The 17,796-nt window shown below is 35.3% G+C and overlaps 1 protein-coding gene across 4 annotated transcripts in view, besides 1 other annotated feature; it reads left to right on the top strand.

Moving 5' to 3' along the window:
• PDE5A (phosphodiesterase 5A) overlaps positions 1–17,796 on the top strand; it is a 134,402-nt gene that overhangs the window by 76,799 nt on the left and 39,807 nt on the right. For all 4 annotated transcript variants that reach the window (NM_001083.4, NM_033437.4, NM_033430.3 and 1 more), the window contains exons 10-11: positions 9,372–9,547; positions 12,987–13,046. In NM_001083.4, coding sequence (NP_001074.2) covers positions 9,372–9,547; positions 12,987–13,046 — 236 coding nt within the window. The remainder of the gene's footprint in view (positions 1–9,371; positions 9,548–12,986; positions 13,047–17,796) is intronic.
• Positions 8,625–8,825: a silencer, noted in NCBI's record as "peak5097 fragment used in MPRA reporter construct". NCBI's record gives its function as "represses an SCP1 promoter by STARR-seq MPRAs in K562 erythroleukemia cells {active_cell/tissue: K562}" and the evidence as "EXISTENCE:reporter gene assay evidence [ECO:0000049][PMID:32103011]".

Raw genomic sequence — 17,796 nt, 5'->3', positions numbered from 1 at the left:
TTGACATATTTGTTTCCTGGTATTGCAGTTATGTAAAGGTTAAGTAGGATTTTATATGCCAATCATCCGTGGTTGATGTAGTGAAAAAGGTCTGGACTGTTAACATTCTCCTAGGAACCTGGAAATAAAGAAAATATGATAACTTTTTAAAGGTTAAATTTAGAATTAAAACCCTAATGGAGCAACATTTAGATATATAAATATAACTTTAAAAGTCTGAATACTTTTCCAATTGCAAGATTTGACTATAATTTTATTGAATGAGAGTTTTAGTCAGAAAGAAGGGGCAGAGGGTATATCAGTAATGAAAATAGAAAAAGAAAAGACAGATATTAAAAGTGACTGTCCAAGTTCTGTGCAAGAGTAAAGTAACATTTGTCCCTAACACAGAGATGGATGTAGAGAGTTGTATCAGTGTGCATCGAGTATTCTGACCATATGGTGAGCCTTCACTAGGTGCAATGGATGCATCAGATTATAGCCAGTAATATCTTTCCAATTCCCAGTCCCTCTGCCTAGAATGCATCCTTATTGTGAAAGGAATACATCAGCTTAGCACAATTCAACATTCTCTGACTCTGATTTCCCTTGTTCTGATTCCAGTCCCACCAATCCAACTTGTACTGATTACTTTCTTTTCCAGTGTAGGTTAGCTCATGGGAAGAGAATGCATTATTCATGTCCTCTCAAATATACTGGTTGCCCTGACAGTTGTTTCTTATTGTATGAACTGGACTTGAGGCAATGGGCTGGAGCTGCAGGTGCTTATACTTCTGTTTCTGGGACAGATCTGTTTCTTTTTGAACATTGATACTATTTTGGTTTTATAAATCAGTCTTGTCAACTTAGTTACTGTGACTCCACCCCAGCAGTCTTCAGTATGCTAATCTAGTGCCTAAGCTAAAAGGTTGAGGGTCAGCTCCTGACCCTGGTGAATTGTGCATTAAAGCCGCTTAGAAACCAGCGTGCCAACCCCCTGCTGGGCTGTTGAGTCAACTCTTCTACAGTTCTCAGAGAAAAAAGTGGAGGCTAATGAATCTGTGAGATCTTTTTTAAAGATTGTCACTGATCAGATCTCTAACATAAGCAATAAAAGAAAACTGCCAAGGGTGCCTTACAATATGATACCAAGTAAATGTTATAAAATTTTATTTCTTAGGGAGGTCAAGGGGAAAACTATATTATAAATGTTATGCTGTTTAAAATGCTTTTTTATAAGTATAAAGATTTACTACAAGCTGTCTTTGGCCTTTGAAAATGTGAAATTAAATTCCAGAAGGAATGCATTATTTACTAGTAAGTTATCATAGGAAGGAAGGCAGAGTGGCAGCTTGCCCCATCAAGTCACATCTTCACTTTTCCCCAGCAACATTTCTTTGGAATAATAACTGGGAACGGGGAGTGGCTGGAGGAAGTTACGCATCAGGCCCCTTTGTCACTTTATGTGAAGGTAAATGAGAGCGAGTTAGACGACATGGAAAGAGTGCTGGACTGGGGGTCGGACTCACAGCATTGTGTTAGCGCCACTCATCTTCAGCCACACTTATGGGCACATTACTCACCTCTGTGGAGTTGAACTTAATAACTTTTCAGATCTGTTCAAAATTCACATTCTGTGATCCTGTCACTGTGTCAGACAAGTAAGAAAAAAATAAAAAATGAAACAATCAGACTTTTCTTGGCATACATTTTGTATCACCCTACTTGATGACAGAGCCAAAAGTAGGCAAATGTAGATTTTGGAGAGAAAAATTCTTTGTAAATAAAAAGAAAGGAAAAGAAATGATTTCTTTAGTCGGGTTTTGTGTGGGGTGAAGGGAGGTTCTCAAGTAGATCCCAAATATAAGGGGGAAAATTTCCAGTGTTCCTGCTGCTTTACAAGGGTGACAAAACTAAGAATTTGATTTCTGGACTATACTTATGTACCTACAGTTGTAGCATGGAAAATGTCATGGTTGTGGATAATTTGTCTTACATGTCATAGACCAGATTCCACTATTATGTAATTCTAATAGAGAATCCCTATAGAGTTACATGCAGAAAGACAGACGGACACATGTGTTGTTTGTAATCTTCTTCCTTCTTCTCATTTTTTCCATTACTGACATTTAGATGGAATTATAGACATTAGACCAGTATGGGGCCTGCTGTCCCATCACATTTATTCCCTGAGGTATTGTTTCGTATCAAATGTTTTCTTAGTGCTCTGGCTAATACACAGTGTTTCCACTACTTTGCTTCCAGTACTTTTAAGGAAATATATTTCTCATTGAACGTTCATTTATTTTAACTAATTATTTTCCCTGCTTATTATGCTAAATGCCTTTTTCCAATATTATATTTACCAGACATTTTTATGCCTATTTTTTCCATATCAATTTCAGGATAAATTTTGCAGAAACTAGTCCTATTCCCATTGAAAATTTATTTTAAAAAAAGATACTTAGAACATCTCCACTTTAAATAGCTTACTTTTTCATCTCCTTGTTAATAAATAAAAGCATAAAAATAAAAATTACAGTGCTGTACCACACATTGTTTGACAGAGAAATATGAGAAAGAAATATGTATTTGTCAACTGGTTACTATCTTAATCCCTTCTCATGTACACTGTAAGAATGTTCTGTTTTTTACTTCCACAATGAATTTTCTAAGTCTCTTACACTTTCAAACTTGTTCTGTTAGCCTGTTTGAACTGGCTAAACACCTACATCATTCCAATGCTCCAAATGGCACCTTATTTTAGTTCCTTTCTATCAATAAAATTTGGGAGACCTGCATGCCTGCAGAGTTTTTTTGAGTAGGCCTTAATGAATTTTTGAATCATTGATTGTCACTACCACGTCATCTTATCTTACTCTGTTAATTTATTTTGGCTTTATTTAATAAATTACTCGGGTGGACCTTTAAATAGGTGAATACATGGAGAGATAAGCTGCTCATCTGTGTGTTGCAGTAGAATTCCAAGGCATAAATAAGTATTCTAATGTTATATCGCTTAAGTTTGACTACTACTTCATTGTACTTTTCATATTAAATTTTATCACTTGGCAATATCACTATTCATTTGTTTATAATTGTACATTGTCTTCCATGGTATACATTGCTTGTATTACTTAAAGTATCCAGGTTTTTTCCCAGTTAGAGAATTGTAAATTATGCTTAGTTATAATGAGCACAAGGAAATAAGACTGTAGGGTGTAAGGGCAGTAATAGGTGGAAGAAAACTAGAAAAAAATAGAATTAAGATATTATAGTTTAGAATTATGGAAGTGAAGATCTATATAATAAAAACAATGTAAAGATTACAGATTTAATAATTGACTGAAGAAAGACAAAAATAAGGAAAACTTTTTAGTAGCACTAGAAAACAGAGAAGTAGTCTTTAGTGGATCAGAAACACTAAGGAATTCCTGGAACCTGTGAAGTATACGTCATTTGTAAAGACACATTTTATACAACATGGGCAAAAATTGAATAGGGATAACAATATTTCTATCAAACAAAGTAGAATTTATGGTAAAACATAATGTAAAGAATCACCTTTCATTGAGTAAAATTAAAACTCATAGAGGAAAATGTAATTGCTGTGAATGCTAATAAACTAAATAGCATCATTGACATACAAAAACTAAAGCTGTTAAAAATACACGGAGAAGGCTGGGCGCGGTGGCTCACGCCTGTAATCCCAGCACTTTGGGAGGCCGAGGCGGGCGGATCACAAGGTCAGGAGATCGAGACCATCTTGGCTAACACGGTGAAACCCCGTCTCTACTAAAAATACAAAAAATTAGCCGGGCGCGGTGGCGGGTGCCTGTAGTCCCAGCTACTCGGGAGGCTGAGGCAGGAGAATGGCGTGAACCTGGGAGGCGGAGCTTGCAGTGAGCCAAGATTGTGCCACTGCAATCCGGCCTGGGCTAAAGAGCGGGACTCCGTCTCAAAAAAAAAAAAAAAAAAAAAATACACGGAGAAATGGACAAAGTGATCATCACAGTGGGCCTGAAATATACTTGTCAGTGTTAAATTATAGGAAAAAATAAACATTAGAATTGATAAAAATTAAGTGGATTTAATTGACATATATAGCTTTACTTTCATGTTTCAGAATTTAAAAATATAAATTATTCTAAAATATATGTCAGAAATCAAATATTGGTGATATGCAACATAAAGTCAGTCGTTTCTGAAAAGCAGAATTGTTGGCCACTTTCATAGATCACAGTGCATTAAAACTGTTAATATATAATTAAAAGATAAATTGGAAGGAAAAAACTCACTTAGAACCTGAAACGCATTCTCCTAAATGACAAAGAAGAAATCAAAAGTCATAATTAAATTACAGCATTTTAGAAAAGTAATTGTTCTATTAACATAACATAAAAACTGAAGGTACATGGTCAAAGCTATACTCAGAGGAAATTATGTAGCTTTAAATATTTTATTATTATTAAGAAATAATGAAAAAATTTTAACTAAGCATTCAACCGTAGAAATTAGAAAAACAGCACCTTTCTCTTTCTCACTCTGTTGCCTTCCCCAAATAAGTATATACATGAGAAGAAAGAAAGTAGAAGAAAAAATTGAAAAAATAAACTTATGAAATGAGAAGAAATAAGAGATAATGGGCAAACACAATAATAATAGATGAACCTCCAACGGATAATGAGGATATTAAGAGAGAAACACAAATAGTAATGAGAGAGGGAATGTAAGTACAGATATCAAAGACATTTTAAAAGATACTTGATATTACAGTGTAGCAAATAGGAATTAACATTTGGTGAAATGGGGAATTTCTATAAAAATTGGTAATAACCAATACTAACTCAAGAGGATTTTAGAATTGTTCATGGGAGTAACTGAGAAAGAATTTGTTATTTAAAAAAAAAAAAAAAAAAACTATTGCCCAAAGAAATTCTAACCAAAGCAATTAGAAGGGAGGCAAGGTTGAAATAAGATGAGACACAGAAAAAAAGGAGGCAAAATAAAATAACTTACAAATTATATTAGTGTTAAATGGAAAACCCAAAAAGAATTAGCTGAAAGTACCTGTCTAGTAAGAGTTTTATAAGAAGCCTAATTATCAAATTATTAAAGAGAAATAATTTTAATATATGCCAAGACAAATTTGTTAGAAAACAATGGAAAAAAATAAAACCATTTACTACAGTAACAAAGAATAAACTTGGCCAGAAATATATGTCATCTATATGAGGAAAGCTACAAAATTCTGAGTGACTTAAAAATCATTAAGAAGTGAATACATTTCTGAAATGATTAAAATCTAGTTTACGAGATATCAAGTCTCCCAGATTAGATTTGCATCAATTTTATTATCCTTGTGAGACATGGGTGGGGGTGGGGAGGTTGTTCCTGATCAACATTTACAAACATTGGTAATACTTACAACTGGAGGTGTAAAAAGAATCATAGCTGATGGTTATTGCCCTTTCAGAAATTAAATTTAGATTTAATTCAGAAATTAAAATGATATAAAAGTAAAATAATTAAAAATATGGTATAGGTGCTAAAAGACATGCCAAGATTGATGAAACAGAACAGAAAGTCTAAATGTAGACCCATAGTCTGGCATATATAATTGTGTTACTGTATGTAACAGAGTAGGGTATATTTCATTATTTTTAAGTAAGATACTTTTGAATGAAAGACACCATTTTATGTATCTCCAAGAAAATAAAATATGATTTCAATTTACTATGTCAAGCTATTGATCATAACATGCATACTGATTTCAAAAATATTAAAATGTGGAAAAAGTATGTAATAGTTGAAACAAATATGAATTTAGTATATGGTGACAATTCAGATCATCAAAGAATGGGTAACTCTTCAGATGTTATAAGACTCCAATAGCAGTTAGGGGAAAAATTAAGTGGGATTATAAGATTAAATGTAATACATCTATAAAAGTACTAGGGAAAATATAGGTTTATATATAATATTAAAATGAGGAAGCCTCTTTTAAAAGCAAGGCACTATAGTTGAATATTGTAAGGATAATTATTCTGGCTCCTTAAAAAATTAAATCTTTTATACAGCAAAAGCCTCTCCAAATTAAGATGATTGACAAATGAAAAGTGCAGAAACAAAAGTATTTGCAAGATAGGTGATAAAGGTTCGTTTTACATTTTAATAAGGCAGGATGCTAATTTTGGAGTCCATGTTATGTGGTAGAGAGGACATAAGACTGCAAGCAGGGTATAAGCATTGACCCCCTGTTCTGCCAAAGAGCCAGGAGGAAGACTGTGGTTGGTAACAACATCCGATCCCAAGAATTATGGAAAAGAAAATATAACTGTTTAATTTTAGAAGCCATCTAGTCCCTTCAGCATAATTTCCAGAGGTGCCTTCAATGCTAACCAACTCTCAGACCTACTGTGATGACCACATTCTGAGTACTTTATGAACTCTATAATAATATTAGGTAACACTGATAGTTTGCTAACTTCACTACTTCTTGGTTCCCCCAATACATTTTTGAATGTTGTTTTATTTTGTGATTGCACTTATTAATGGGTTTTTGCTGAATGGTTCTCTTTTATTTTTGGTTTTGCATTAAACATTTCATTTTTAAATATAAATTATTCTGAGTTTGTATGGTTTATGAGTAACGTGGCATCTCAAATTTCAGTTTTAAATTTCATTATTGTACTCCTTAATCTTTCAGATCATTAAGGAAGAAGTTGTGAACACTCTATCTGTAAATGTGCCCAGGTTTTTAGTTTTCTTAAACAGGGAACCCTGTTTGTTATAAGCCCTCTTTTTCTTTATAACTTTTTGTTTTTACATGGGTATTTTTGCTTGATAGAATTAAACTTTCCGAAGAGTGTAAAGAGATCAATGGGATTATCATGAATGCTATTTAAATATGGCTGCTCATTTCACTTTCAAAAAGATAATTAATTTATATGCCTAGATGGATGATTTGTCTTCAGTACCCATTTTTGTTGCTGTTGTTGTTGTTGTTTTCCCCAGAGCTTAACTCTGTGCCTATAGATCTATATCTATAATGGTAGATCATAACATGGATATACTTTAGTTGTTCTGCTCTGAGCTGTATTTGTTATAGCAGAACCTTGATATTTCTACACATAACATTCCATTTAAAGGACTTGCGGGCAATTCCAAAGGTATAATTTAATGACTCTTAATATATTCATTCAGTGAATTTTGACCAAGGCATAGATTTGAACTGCTGTACTGGAGAGATACTTAGCTAGGTCATAAGCCTCGCAGATTGCCTGGTATTCACATCTCAACCCCTCTGTGTTGTACTTTTCTTGCTATACGTGTAGTAATTCTTGTGAAGTAATTTTTAAAATCTTGTTTATGAAAAAGGCTATCAAGTAGGAGAAAACTTTAGTAAAACTGAAAGGCAATTCCATTGTGATGTGAGGATAAGGGCATGAAATGTGACTCTCAAGAAAATAAGATTTAGGAGACAGAAGCCTGTATAAACAGTTCCATATTTATATTTTGGGGATTCACAAAGGTTGAAGGACATAACCCTTGGTTTGTTTTTTGCTTTTTGTTCTTGTTTTTTGCCACACACAGGATATATACATTTAAGATAATGAACGCTGATTGCCATTTAGTATATGGCTTTTACTTGCAGTGTCCAAATTCATTATATCTTGTCTAAAGTTTCCCTTGACTATGGAATAATTGATAAAGTAACTTCTGCAGCACTATTGCAAATAGATAAGCATGTAGATGTCTTTACTGTTTAAAGTAGATAAACAAACAAAAAGAGCAAAAAGGAGAGTCCAGATCATTTATAGTATGAAAAGTAAAGAAAGTGAACATTGATGGTGGTAAAGGGGCTTAATGTGCAACCGTCTTCCAGACTCTATGAAATCCTTTTGTGCTCCAGGAAAAATAAAGGATAATAGACTATTATAGTCTTCATGGGAAACTAGTTACAGTCAGAGCTGCAATTCTACATTCTTTCATTAATTCGGAAAACATTTTTTTAGTTCCTACTATATGCTAGGCGTTTTGCCAGCTGAAGTGGAGCTGAAAAAAATAAATAAAACTCTAAGCCCAAGATACTGACAGTCTAGAAAGAGAGAGAGAAATAAAATTTACCATGATACACCAACTGGTCATGTTAAGGGAATAGAAAAATGCCTGCCTCACCTGTAAGTTAGAGGCCTCCTGGAGGTCATTGGGAAGGAGGTATAGGGATCAACTGGTGAGGCGGGAGGGAAGGCAATGGGGAGCAGTGCAGACCTGTGGAAAAGCATAAGCAAAGGTGTGGGCAAGCAAGATGCAACCAGGGCACTGATAGCAATGATCTGACAGGTAATATGGCAGTTGAGAGTGGCCCTTGTGGCAGGCTGAGCTGGGGATTGAATTTTAGACCTACACATACCAGCTAAGTGGCTTTGAGCAAATGATGTAACTTTCTGAGATTCAGTTTCCTCATCTGTAAAATGAGAATAGTCACATCTACCTCACAGAATAAATTGAGAAGACTGGAGATCATGTGTCTACCAAAGTATTTAGCACAATGCCTATCCCACAGTGGGCACATGGTAGAAGTTTGTTATTATATACTCAGAGACAGAAGTGATAAGGACTTTAACAACACTTTGTTTACACAGAGGTAGGCTGGGTCATCAAAGTGACCTCTGTGAGGTCACTCCTCACAGAGACCACTAGGCTCAGAAACTCATAGAACAACCAGTTAAGATTTATCCTAATGTTGATGTAATCTTCCATTTTTATTGACTACGTGTTTAACTTTTATTTCTAAGTAGTCATTTTTATTTGCATAATTATTTGCAGAATCAAAAGTTTTCTGCAAATTTGATTCTGTTGGATACAGAGGTGTAGATTTGAAATTTGAGACTGCTTATGTCAGTTGCCTCCTTTCTGCATTCTATTTTGTATGTAACCGTGTGTGTGTGTGTGTGTGTGTGTGTGTGTGTGTGTGTATGTTTAACTTCTGGTTTCTCAGTAAGGAAAGGAGATCTGTTTGACCCAAAATTCTGATGTGCATCAAAATCGTTCTCTTGGCAAGTGTACAAAAATCCAATTAGCTTCCAAAGGACAAATTGTCTTTGGGGACTCAACTGATCTAAAATTCGTGACCGAGTCTGGAAGAAAATAGTACTCTAGGATTTTTTGAACGCCAGCAATGTACATTTTGAACTACATGAAACTAGTTCTCATATAAATTCTGTTTACTTCTCTAGCTTATATTTGTGGGGGTTAATTTGCTTATTTCGACATACTAAGCATTCCTAAGAGAAAAGTGTAAGACAATCTTTGGGTGTGTTTGTTAAAGTCCACAAAAACTATGATAATCAACAATAACATTTGCTCAATTTCTCGGATTGTTATAGGGGTTTGCCAACTTGTTAATAAGATGGAGGAGAATACTGGCAAGGTTAAGCCTTTCAACCGAAATGACGAACAGTTTCTGGAAGCTTTTGTCATCTTTTGTGGCTTGGGGATCCAGAACACGCAGATGTATGAAGCAGTGGAGAGAGCCATGGCCAAGCAAATGGTCACATTGGAGGTGGGTGAAGTTTAGGGACCTCTCACACTGTACAGCCAAACCCTCATCTTTTACCTTTCCCTCATAATCACTCATGGTGTGTGTGTGTTCCGTCATTGTGTCCTCACCAAAATTATGTGATTTAGATGATGAGATCCTTATTGTCCTCAACTAAAGAATGAAAGAAACTAAGACTCAGAATATTTAAGAAACTTGTCAAATGTCATATAACCAAACCACAACTCAGGATGTTTATCCCTTTATGCCTTTGCTTTTTCTGCAGAAAGCAATATTGACTTTAATAATCCATTGACACAGATGACTACTGCCAATTATCTGTCTCTTTCCCATTGCCTGAGCCTCCCCATCTTTCCGTGAGAACAGTTGTGGAAAAAAATTAAAAATAAACAAACAAACAAAAAACAGAAACCCTAGGCACTCTTAAGAGAATTAGAAGTGAGGAAAAGAAAAAATAAAATCAACGAAAAGCAGGAAGAGTTTTAACTCCTGGAATCATCTGAGAAACTATTTCAAACTATAAATTTATATACCCTACTTCTGAAAGTTCTGATTCAGCAAGTCTTGGGTAGAAGCTGGGAATCTGTATGACTACCAAGCTCCCCCAGGTGACTCTGAATGTGCAGGTAGCGAGTGAAGAAACCACTGGCTCCCAGGGACTGACCGAGGAACACTCTTTCTCACAAAGGACCAGCCGACTCCAACAGGGTCAGTCCTTTCTATATATGTTTCACTAACTGCCTTGAAATTATTCAGTTGATGTAACATGGAGATTTCTTATCTAGTTGAAATTAGAGAAAATCAGTGTTTGGGATATAATAACATTTCCCTCAATCTCTCTTAAGTACATAACTAACCTTAAAGAGCTAGAGAGACATATATTATATAAAATATACCAGATGGTACCCTTTACTTTCTATGCTGAATATATTATACTAATAGGTTTGCTACAGTATTATATAAAAGACTTTGAATATATAAACCAGTGGAAATCTGTTTCAAATATATATGTACACATATACACACAAATATATATTTCAAATATAGTTTCAATTAGGTGCATATACACATGTACATATGTGTTCAAATAGCTTTAAATATACAGATACACATATATACATATATCTATATATGTGTTTATTATAAAATATATAAATATAATTTTTAATCTAATTTTTTCAGTTTCATGGTTTTTCATTGAAAAATTTAATCTAAGTCAGCTATCAATTAGAAGTTATTTCTTTTTTAAATGTTTTATTATGGAAAGTTTCAAGCATATACAGAAGTAGACAGAAAGCTTAATAAGCCCTCACATACTCATCATCCATTCAGTAATTATCAACCCATGACCATTATCACTCCATCCATTCCCACCGCACTCCTCTGCACTTCCCTTCCCCTCCCACTGGCTTAGTTTGAAGCAATCCCAGACATTGTATTACTTTGTTCAGAATCTCTGAATATTTTCCTGATTGAGACTTATTTCTATCTTTGTAGCTCTCTTTCAGTTAAATATATGGATAATTAGGCTTTTACCTAGTATAAAAAGTTTTTGATTTCAGGTCATATGTGTAGTCATTTCTATGATCATAGATATAACTTTGAAAAAAATGGTCCTTTCTTTATGAGACCATTGGACAAAAGCCAAGGGCACAAACCCCTCAGGTCTTCAAAAGACAGTGAATTATTTTGACCTGGAAGTTGTGATCATTCTAATAACAATAAAATAATGATGACAATAAAAGTAACTAAATTTATCAGATGTTTCAATTGTATTCTAATGCTTACATGTATTAACAAAGTTAATCCTTATGCCCCATGTGTAAGTTATTTTTATCTTTTGTGTGTGATAAAATTTTTTTAACTTAGAATGTATTGTGTCATTTCTTTATTCATGTATCCATGTTGCACTGCACTTGTTAATATTAGTCTAACTCATGGACACAGTATTAGCTTTTCTTGGGAACCACCACTGTAGTCTCAGTAGCAACAGGTTATAGCCATGACCCATCAATTTCACACGTGCAGGAGAGAGCAGCTGTGAGTTTCTTGAGGTTTCCTAGTGACTAATGGTTCAAATGGCAAGAAAGATGCAATGTAGTGCAGTATGGTAACAGTTCTAAATCATAAGATAGTACAAATATGTATCATTTGGCTTTAAATTTTTAATTACTTAAAATTTTAAAGACTGGTTCAAGAAATACTGGTTTGGGTTGCTGAATTACTTTACTCACCATTTAAAGTTTGAAAATGAGCTACCTTTTCATCAATGCTTTTTAAGCTTTTGGGGTTTTTTTTGTAAATCTGTGTTGTCTCTCTCAAAAATGAACTTTAAAAAAATATGCTTTCAAAGCATGATAGATACTTTAAATACAACCACTACCTTGGTTTAAAAGAATGTTTAAAAAAAATCCCATTGCAGTTTGGGTAACCCTTACATGAAATGCTTGAGACCAGAAGTGTTTTGTATTTTGCATTTTTTTTCAGATTTTTGGAACATGTGCATTATACTTAATGGTTGAGCAGTCCAAATCCAAAAATCTCAAACTCAAAAATGTTTCAAAATCCAAAATTCTCTGAGCAGCAGCATGACACTCAAAAGGAAATGCTCATTAGAGGATTTTGGATTTCAGATTTTTAGGTTTGGGATGCTCAACTTGTAATTAGAAATGATTGCTTTTGAAAATGGAAATTAAGTTAATAAGCCTGATTTTTTAACTCTAAGTAATGGAACGTGTATAGGTTAGGAATTGAAAGCTGGGTCCTAAATCTCCTTGTCCTCTCACTAGGTGTGAGCTTACAGCCAAATCATGTGACTCCCTGAGGCTCAGTGTCCCCAACTGTCAATGGATGGCTTTACAGGCCAGCACTACTCTCTTCTCACCTCTTAAATTGTAGGAGTGTAAAGGGATCCTTAAATCTGCATGACTGTGTCCCAGGCATCCAGTTTTTCTGTGTGAATTCTAGAATGGTTACAGGCCTCATCTGAGAGCCACTTGTAGACTACTTTCTTTCCAAATATTAATATCAAAATGTCAGATTATGCAGAGATTTTCTCTTTAATTCTGTACACAAGCAGAAATAGCTAAAGTCAATATTGTCTTAAAAAAAAAAAACAAAATAAATTTTCTGCCAAAGTTTGAGCCAAAAGTTATTTCTAGGCTGGCTTATAAATAATGTGTTTGTTATAGCAATAATGTCAGACTGGAAGTTACAAGAGTTTTCTTTAAACATAGGGAGTATAACTTTTTGTTTTCCAAAACAAGCAATGGAATCTAAATCTGGGTTTTTCACTGTTGAAGAAAACAGCAAACAAGATTTGGCATTCTGAGGAGTCTAATTATCTCTCCAAGAAGACTTAGCAGAATTCCAAGCTTGAAGTTCTAGTCTACATGTGGTAGTTCTCTCCTGTGTAACCTGGACTTCTTTTCCTACCCTGTAGGTTCTGTCGTATCATGCTTCAGCAGCAGAGGAAGAAACAAGAGAGCTACAGTCGTTAGCGGTAATTATCCTCTTTCTTTTTAAAAATTACTAATTACAGACACCTAATTTAACCAAATTTGGTAAATATTTAGATGGATACTTATAAAAATGTTTAATTAACTCTGCTTTCTTGCAGGGATGCAAAGTCACTGATAATACAAAGCAAAAGGCATTAAATAACTTATACTGACTGTGTAATATAGTGTATGATTCTGATATTTGTTTTCCAGTAATTGTTATAATCATTACATCTTTTTGGGGCCAAAATTAAATTTACTTTTCTTTTAGTTCCTGGAGAAATGGGGACCATGAGGTGGTTGTTTGGCTAGGGTAATAACAAAACAATTTATAGTTTGTTACTGATACCTACTCTGTATTATCAAGAATTGAGAGTGATTTTAATTTCTGACCATATGGCTTATAAAATGCTGTTTGAAATTGGGGTCAAATAAGGTCAGTTCCTGAATTCTCTTTGCATTATTTAGCATACAATGAGAGAAAAGCACATGGATATGTAAGTAGATGTATGTTGTAGGTCTTGGTTTGGAATGGCTTGGTTGAGATTAATGAAAATTTGAGGCACTTTAACACTTTACAACCTAGGTTGTCCTCCTGTGTTTAAATGTATTTGCGATGACATAGGTAAGGGCCATGTGAGTTGTGACAACAGTTATGTAAGGAATGAGAAAAGTGTGAACAGATCATTGAGAGTCTTTTTCTGTCATCCTCATCATAGTTTGCCACATGCTAAACTCTTTGTGCCCTTATGTACATCTTCTCATGTAAACTGCACAACTGTTTTCTCATGTAAACTTCATAACTATGTTATGAAGGCCGCACTGAAGCCTGGAGAAGCCCAGTGACTTGCTCAAGGTCACTGCCATGCAGTGAAAGAATGAGGATACAAGTTCACCATCCAGAGCTTGTGCACAGAACACTGTGCTGAGACAGGAAAGATGATCCAAATATTTTGACCTTGGCAATTCAAAGAATGATGGTGACATTAATTCATAAAAGTGGAAATATTAAGATGAATATTAAGAATCACATGATTCAAGCAACACCCTTCATAGCTGCTCCTCCACTCTCTTTTACACAAAACATTATAATTTTTGAATAGTCTATATTCATTTCTTCCACCATTTACTTTTACCTTTTGCAGTTTCACTTCCCTGAAACTGCAGGTTTGATTTAGGACAAGGTAAGTTTGAGGTGCTGGTTGAACAACCAAGTGAACATCTTCAGCAATCAGAAAAGGCAGGACTCAAGCGATGAGGTGGTGGTGTTTAGAACTAGAGGTGGAGATTTGGGAGTTAACATCCCATGGTAGTGAAATCATAGGGGTGCATCAATTGGGAGAGAATGCAGAGAGGTAGAGAGACTGAGAACAGAACTCCTGTGAATATAGCCTTAGATGGAAGGAACAGGAAAAGAAAACAGCCAAGAAGGTAGAGAAGTGGTAGTTAAACAAGGAGGAAGATTTAGGATAGTGCAGTGGCACAGAAGGCAAAATAAAGTAGTTTCAAAAAGGGAGGAGATCTCATCAGTGGTAGGAAGGATGAGAAATATGAGGATTGTGAAAAAGCTGCTGTGGATTCGTTGATTAAGTGATTATTGAGAACGCAGTTTCAGGGAAGTGAAACTGCAAAAGGTAAAAGTAAATGGTGGAAGAAATGAATATAGACTATTCAAAAATTGTAATGTTTTGTGTAAAACAGAGTGGAGGAGCAGCTATGAAGGATGTTGCCCGAATCATGTGAAGTTTTTTATTGTTTGGTTAGGTTTTGAATGTGTGAGCTGGCATTGCTCACAAGCAAGAGAGGCAGAATGTTCTTAGGCAAAGGCGGAGGCACAGGAGTCAGTGTGAGAATAACAATGCAAGACAGTGAAGAGATAAGGACCTTGAAGAGGGCTAGGCATGAAAGAGCAACATTTCTTTTGCCCAAACAAGAGGATACAGATAATAATAATAGCTACATTTGTTGAGCACTTCCTGTATACCGAGCGTGTTTTAAGTTCTTTGTGTAAGTCAACTAAGTTTACTGAATCCACAACCTAAATGATCAGTATTGTTAGCATTTTGTAAGAGGGAATTTGTGGCTTAGAGAGTTTCTATTGTGCTTCTCAGGATCTCATTAGGTTGTAAGGAGGGAATGGTGCCAGTACTAAATCCAGGCAGTCTGGATCCAGAGCCCACACAAGATTGCACAGCACTGGAGAGAGAGTAAGTTAGACAGAACAAAGTAAAATGAGGACTTGTAAACATTTTCAGTTAAATCCATGAGTAAGAAACTGAGTCATTTGCCAGTGAAACTGAGTTAACTGCCAAGAACAATTCTATGAACTTTAGATACTAATTGCACCTGAAAGGTTAAGGTCCTTTTTGAGTTAACCTCATATGGAATTGTCTATATTTATTTTGTATGTTGATGACAGTATTTGAAGTGATGAACAGTTTTTCAATTATTTACAAAGCTTTACAGGTTTAAAGTATTATTCACCTCAGGCTTAATTGGCCCATTTGTCTATTCTTCCTAGAAGGATGTAGTTTTCGAGCAATATGTTTGGTGATTTAGAAATTGTCTACATATTGAAGTTCCTGCAGGCACTGCAGGGTTAAGTTATTTCTAAAATGAAGGTGAGGGTTACACTCTATCATTATATGTGTTGTTCTAGGTTAAAAAAAAAGCTAGCAATAATTTCTAAAGATGATATTCAAGTTTGTTTTTCACTTTGAAAATAGTAGTCTTTCAGAAAAATCTGAAAATTATTTTCTCAATGTTTATAATTTTAGCAAGAGAAAAATACTTTTGAATAACTGAAAATTGCTATATTCCAGTATTGTTCAAAACCAGCTGTTGTTGCATTTAGAAAATAGATTTCTGGCAGCTGCATTGAGAAATTTAGGGTTACATAGCTTGTAGGTCAAGTAATTCACTTAAATTGGTTGAAATTCAGCAACTGATTTCAGTTCTAGTTGTCTGTCAACCAAATAAAAATGCCTGTACAGCCCTAGCTACACAGGTGTTTGTATCATCCAGCAATCACCAAAATTGCTGTCGTTTGTCTGGTTATCTCAATTTAAAACCCAAAATAAATGGAAAAGCTATCAAATATTTTCTTAATTTTTATTTTAACAAATTTATTCTTAAGAGAATTAAATCTACTAAATATTTACGCCTGTGTCCAGAAAAATTTCTCCAGTTATAACAAAGTAATTAGTGGATAGGAAATTCAGAATCTTTATTTTTTCCACTTCTGTTGCTTGAGTGTTGTATCCCATTATAAATCTAACCTTCTCTTGGCTTAAAATTGGGTGTAGCATAAATTAGGTGTTAAACTGAGCATTTTGCATATATCTTTTAATGATCCTTAGTTGCAAGTTGCGGAGATAATAATAAAAGGACCCCGGCTGACCTGTTATGGTTATTAGAAAGTTAATTAATTATCAGAATATAATAAGTGCTTATTTATTATCTGAAAAACTAGGAAGTAAATATTTGATTCATTGATTGACAGCCTTTTTTGCCTTCTGTAGGAGATCAGTCAGGGTGGCGGGAAAAACTGTGGAAAGATGCAAACCTTCTTGGAAGGCTGGGAGGTTTTACAAAAGCTTCGGAAAAGGATTTGGCTGAAGGCAGCCAGATTCTCTTATCCGGTGCCTAAAAGCTTAGGTTAGATAGAAAGGGGATGAGGGGTGACCATGTTAATTACCCACAAGTGTGTTGACTCAAGGCCTCTGTCATTAAATCTGTACTAAATAAATGCCTGCAGCCCCAGCTTGTCAGGGCTGCAGCTGCTACAACTCTTTCTGTGGGTTACCTGGTCCCCTAGCCTGCTCTTTCATTGGATATCTGGGTCAGAGTGCATTTTCTCATCTGTTGCTCTGTCAGGGTCTGTGGGTCAGTCCCGGCAACCTTCCTTTCTTGTTAGAACAGTAAAATATATACCAGGGTTTGGTTTTATAAAATAGCTTCTCATTTTTGTCACGGAGGCAGTGCTGTTTCAGTTCAGTCCTTATAGCTTAGCTGACCATTTAGGCAGGATTTCTTAGGCCAGAATTTTCCTCATCTTGACCTTAACCTTTCAGAGCCAAAAACTTCCCATGACCCTGTCTTGATCACACATGTGTGTGATTGCTGCAGGTGACAGCAGTAAGGGGCGGAGCCAGGTACCTGACCCAAATCTCTGATGCCTAAGTCAGTGTTATGGCACTGATCAAGTTCCTTATGTCAAGATGACCATCATATTCCTTCATTTTTTGAAAACTCTGTATGGATGGCCAGATTATAAATGGAAAAATTTTGAGCAGATAATTTAACAAAGAAGTATTGGCCCGACTATCTTGATAACCACTATCACTGAACTGTAATTACCTATGGCATCCAGTAAGGCAGTGGTACCCAACCTTTTTGGCACCAGGGACTGATTTTGTGGAAGACAATTTTTCCAGGGGTTGGGTTGGGGGGCGGGCGGAATGGAGATATAGTCAGTATGGGAATAGTTTTGGGATGAAACTGTTTCACCTCAGATCATCAGGCATTAGATTCTCATAAGGAGCATGCAACCGAGATCCCTCACATGTACAGTTCTCATGCTCCTATGAGAATCTAATGCTGTCACTGATCTGACAGGAGGCAGAGCTCAGGCAGTAATTCTCACTCCCACTACTCACCACCTCCTGCTATGTGGCCTGGTTCCTAACCAGCCACGGTCGGGTACCAGTCCACAACTCAGTGGTTGGGAAGCCCCAAGGCATCATCTTCCTC

This window comes from Homo sapiens, chromosome 4 (assembly GCF_000001405.40).
Source record: "Homo sapiens chromosome 4, GRCh38.p14 Primary Assembly".
In the NCBI taxonomy this organism is placed as follows: Eukaryota; Metazoa; Chordata; class Mammalia; order Primates; family Hominidae; genus Homo; species Homo sapiens.
Note: the sequence above shows the minus strand (reverse complement) of the source record. Positions and strands in the feature narration are given on the sequence as shown.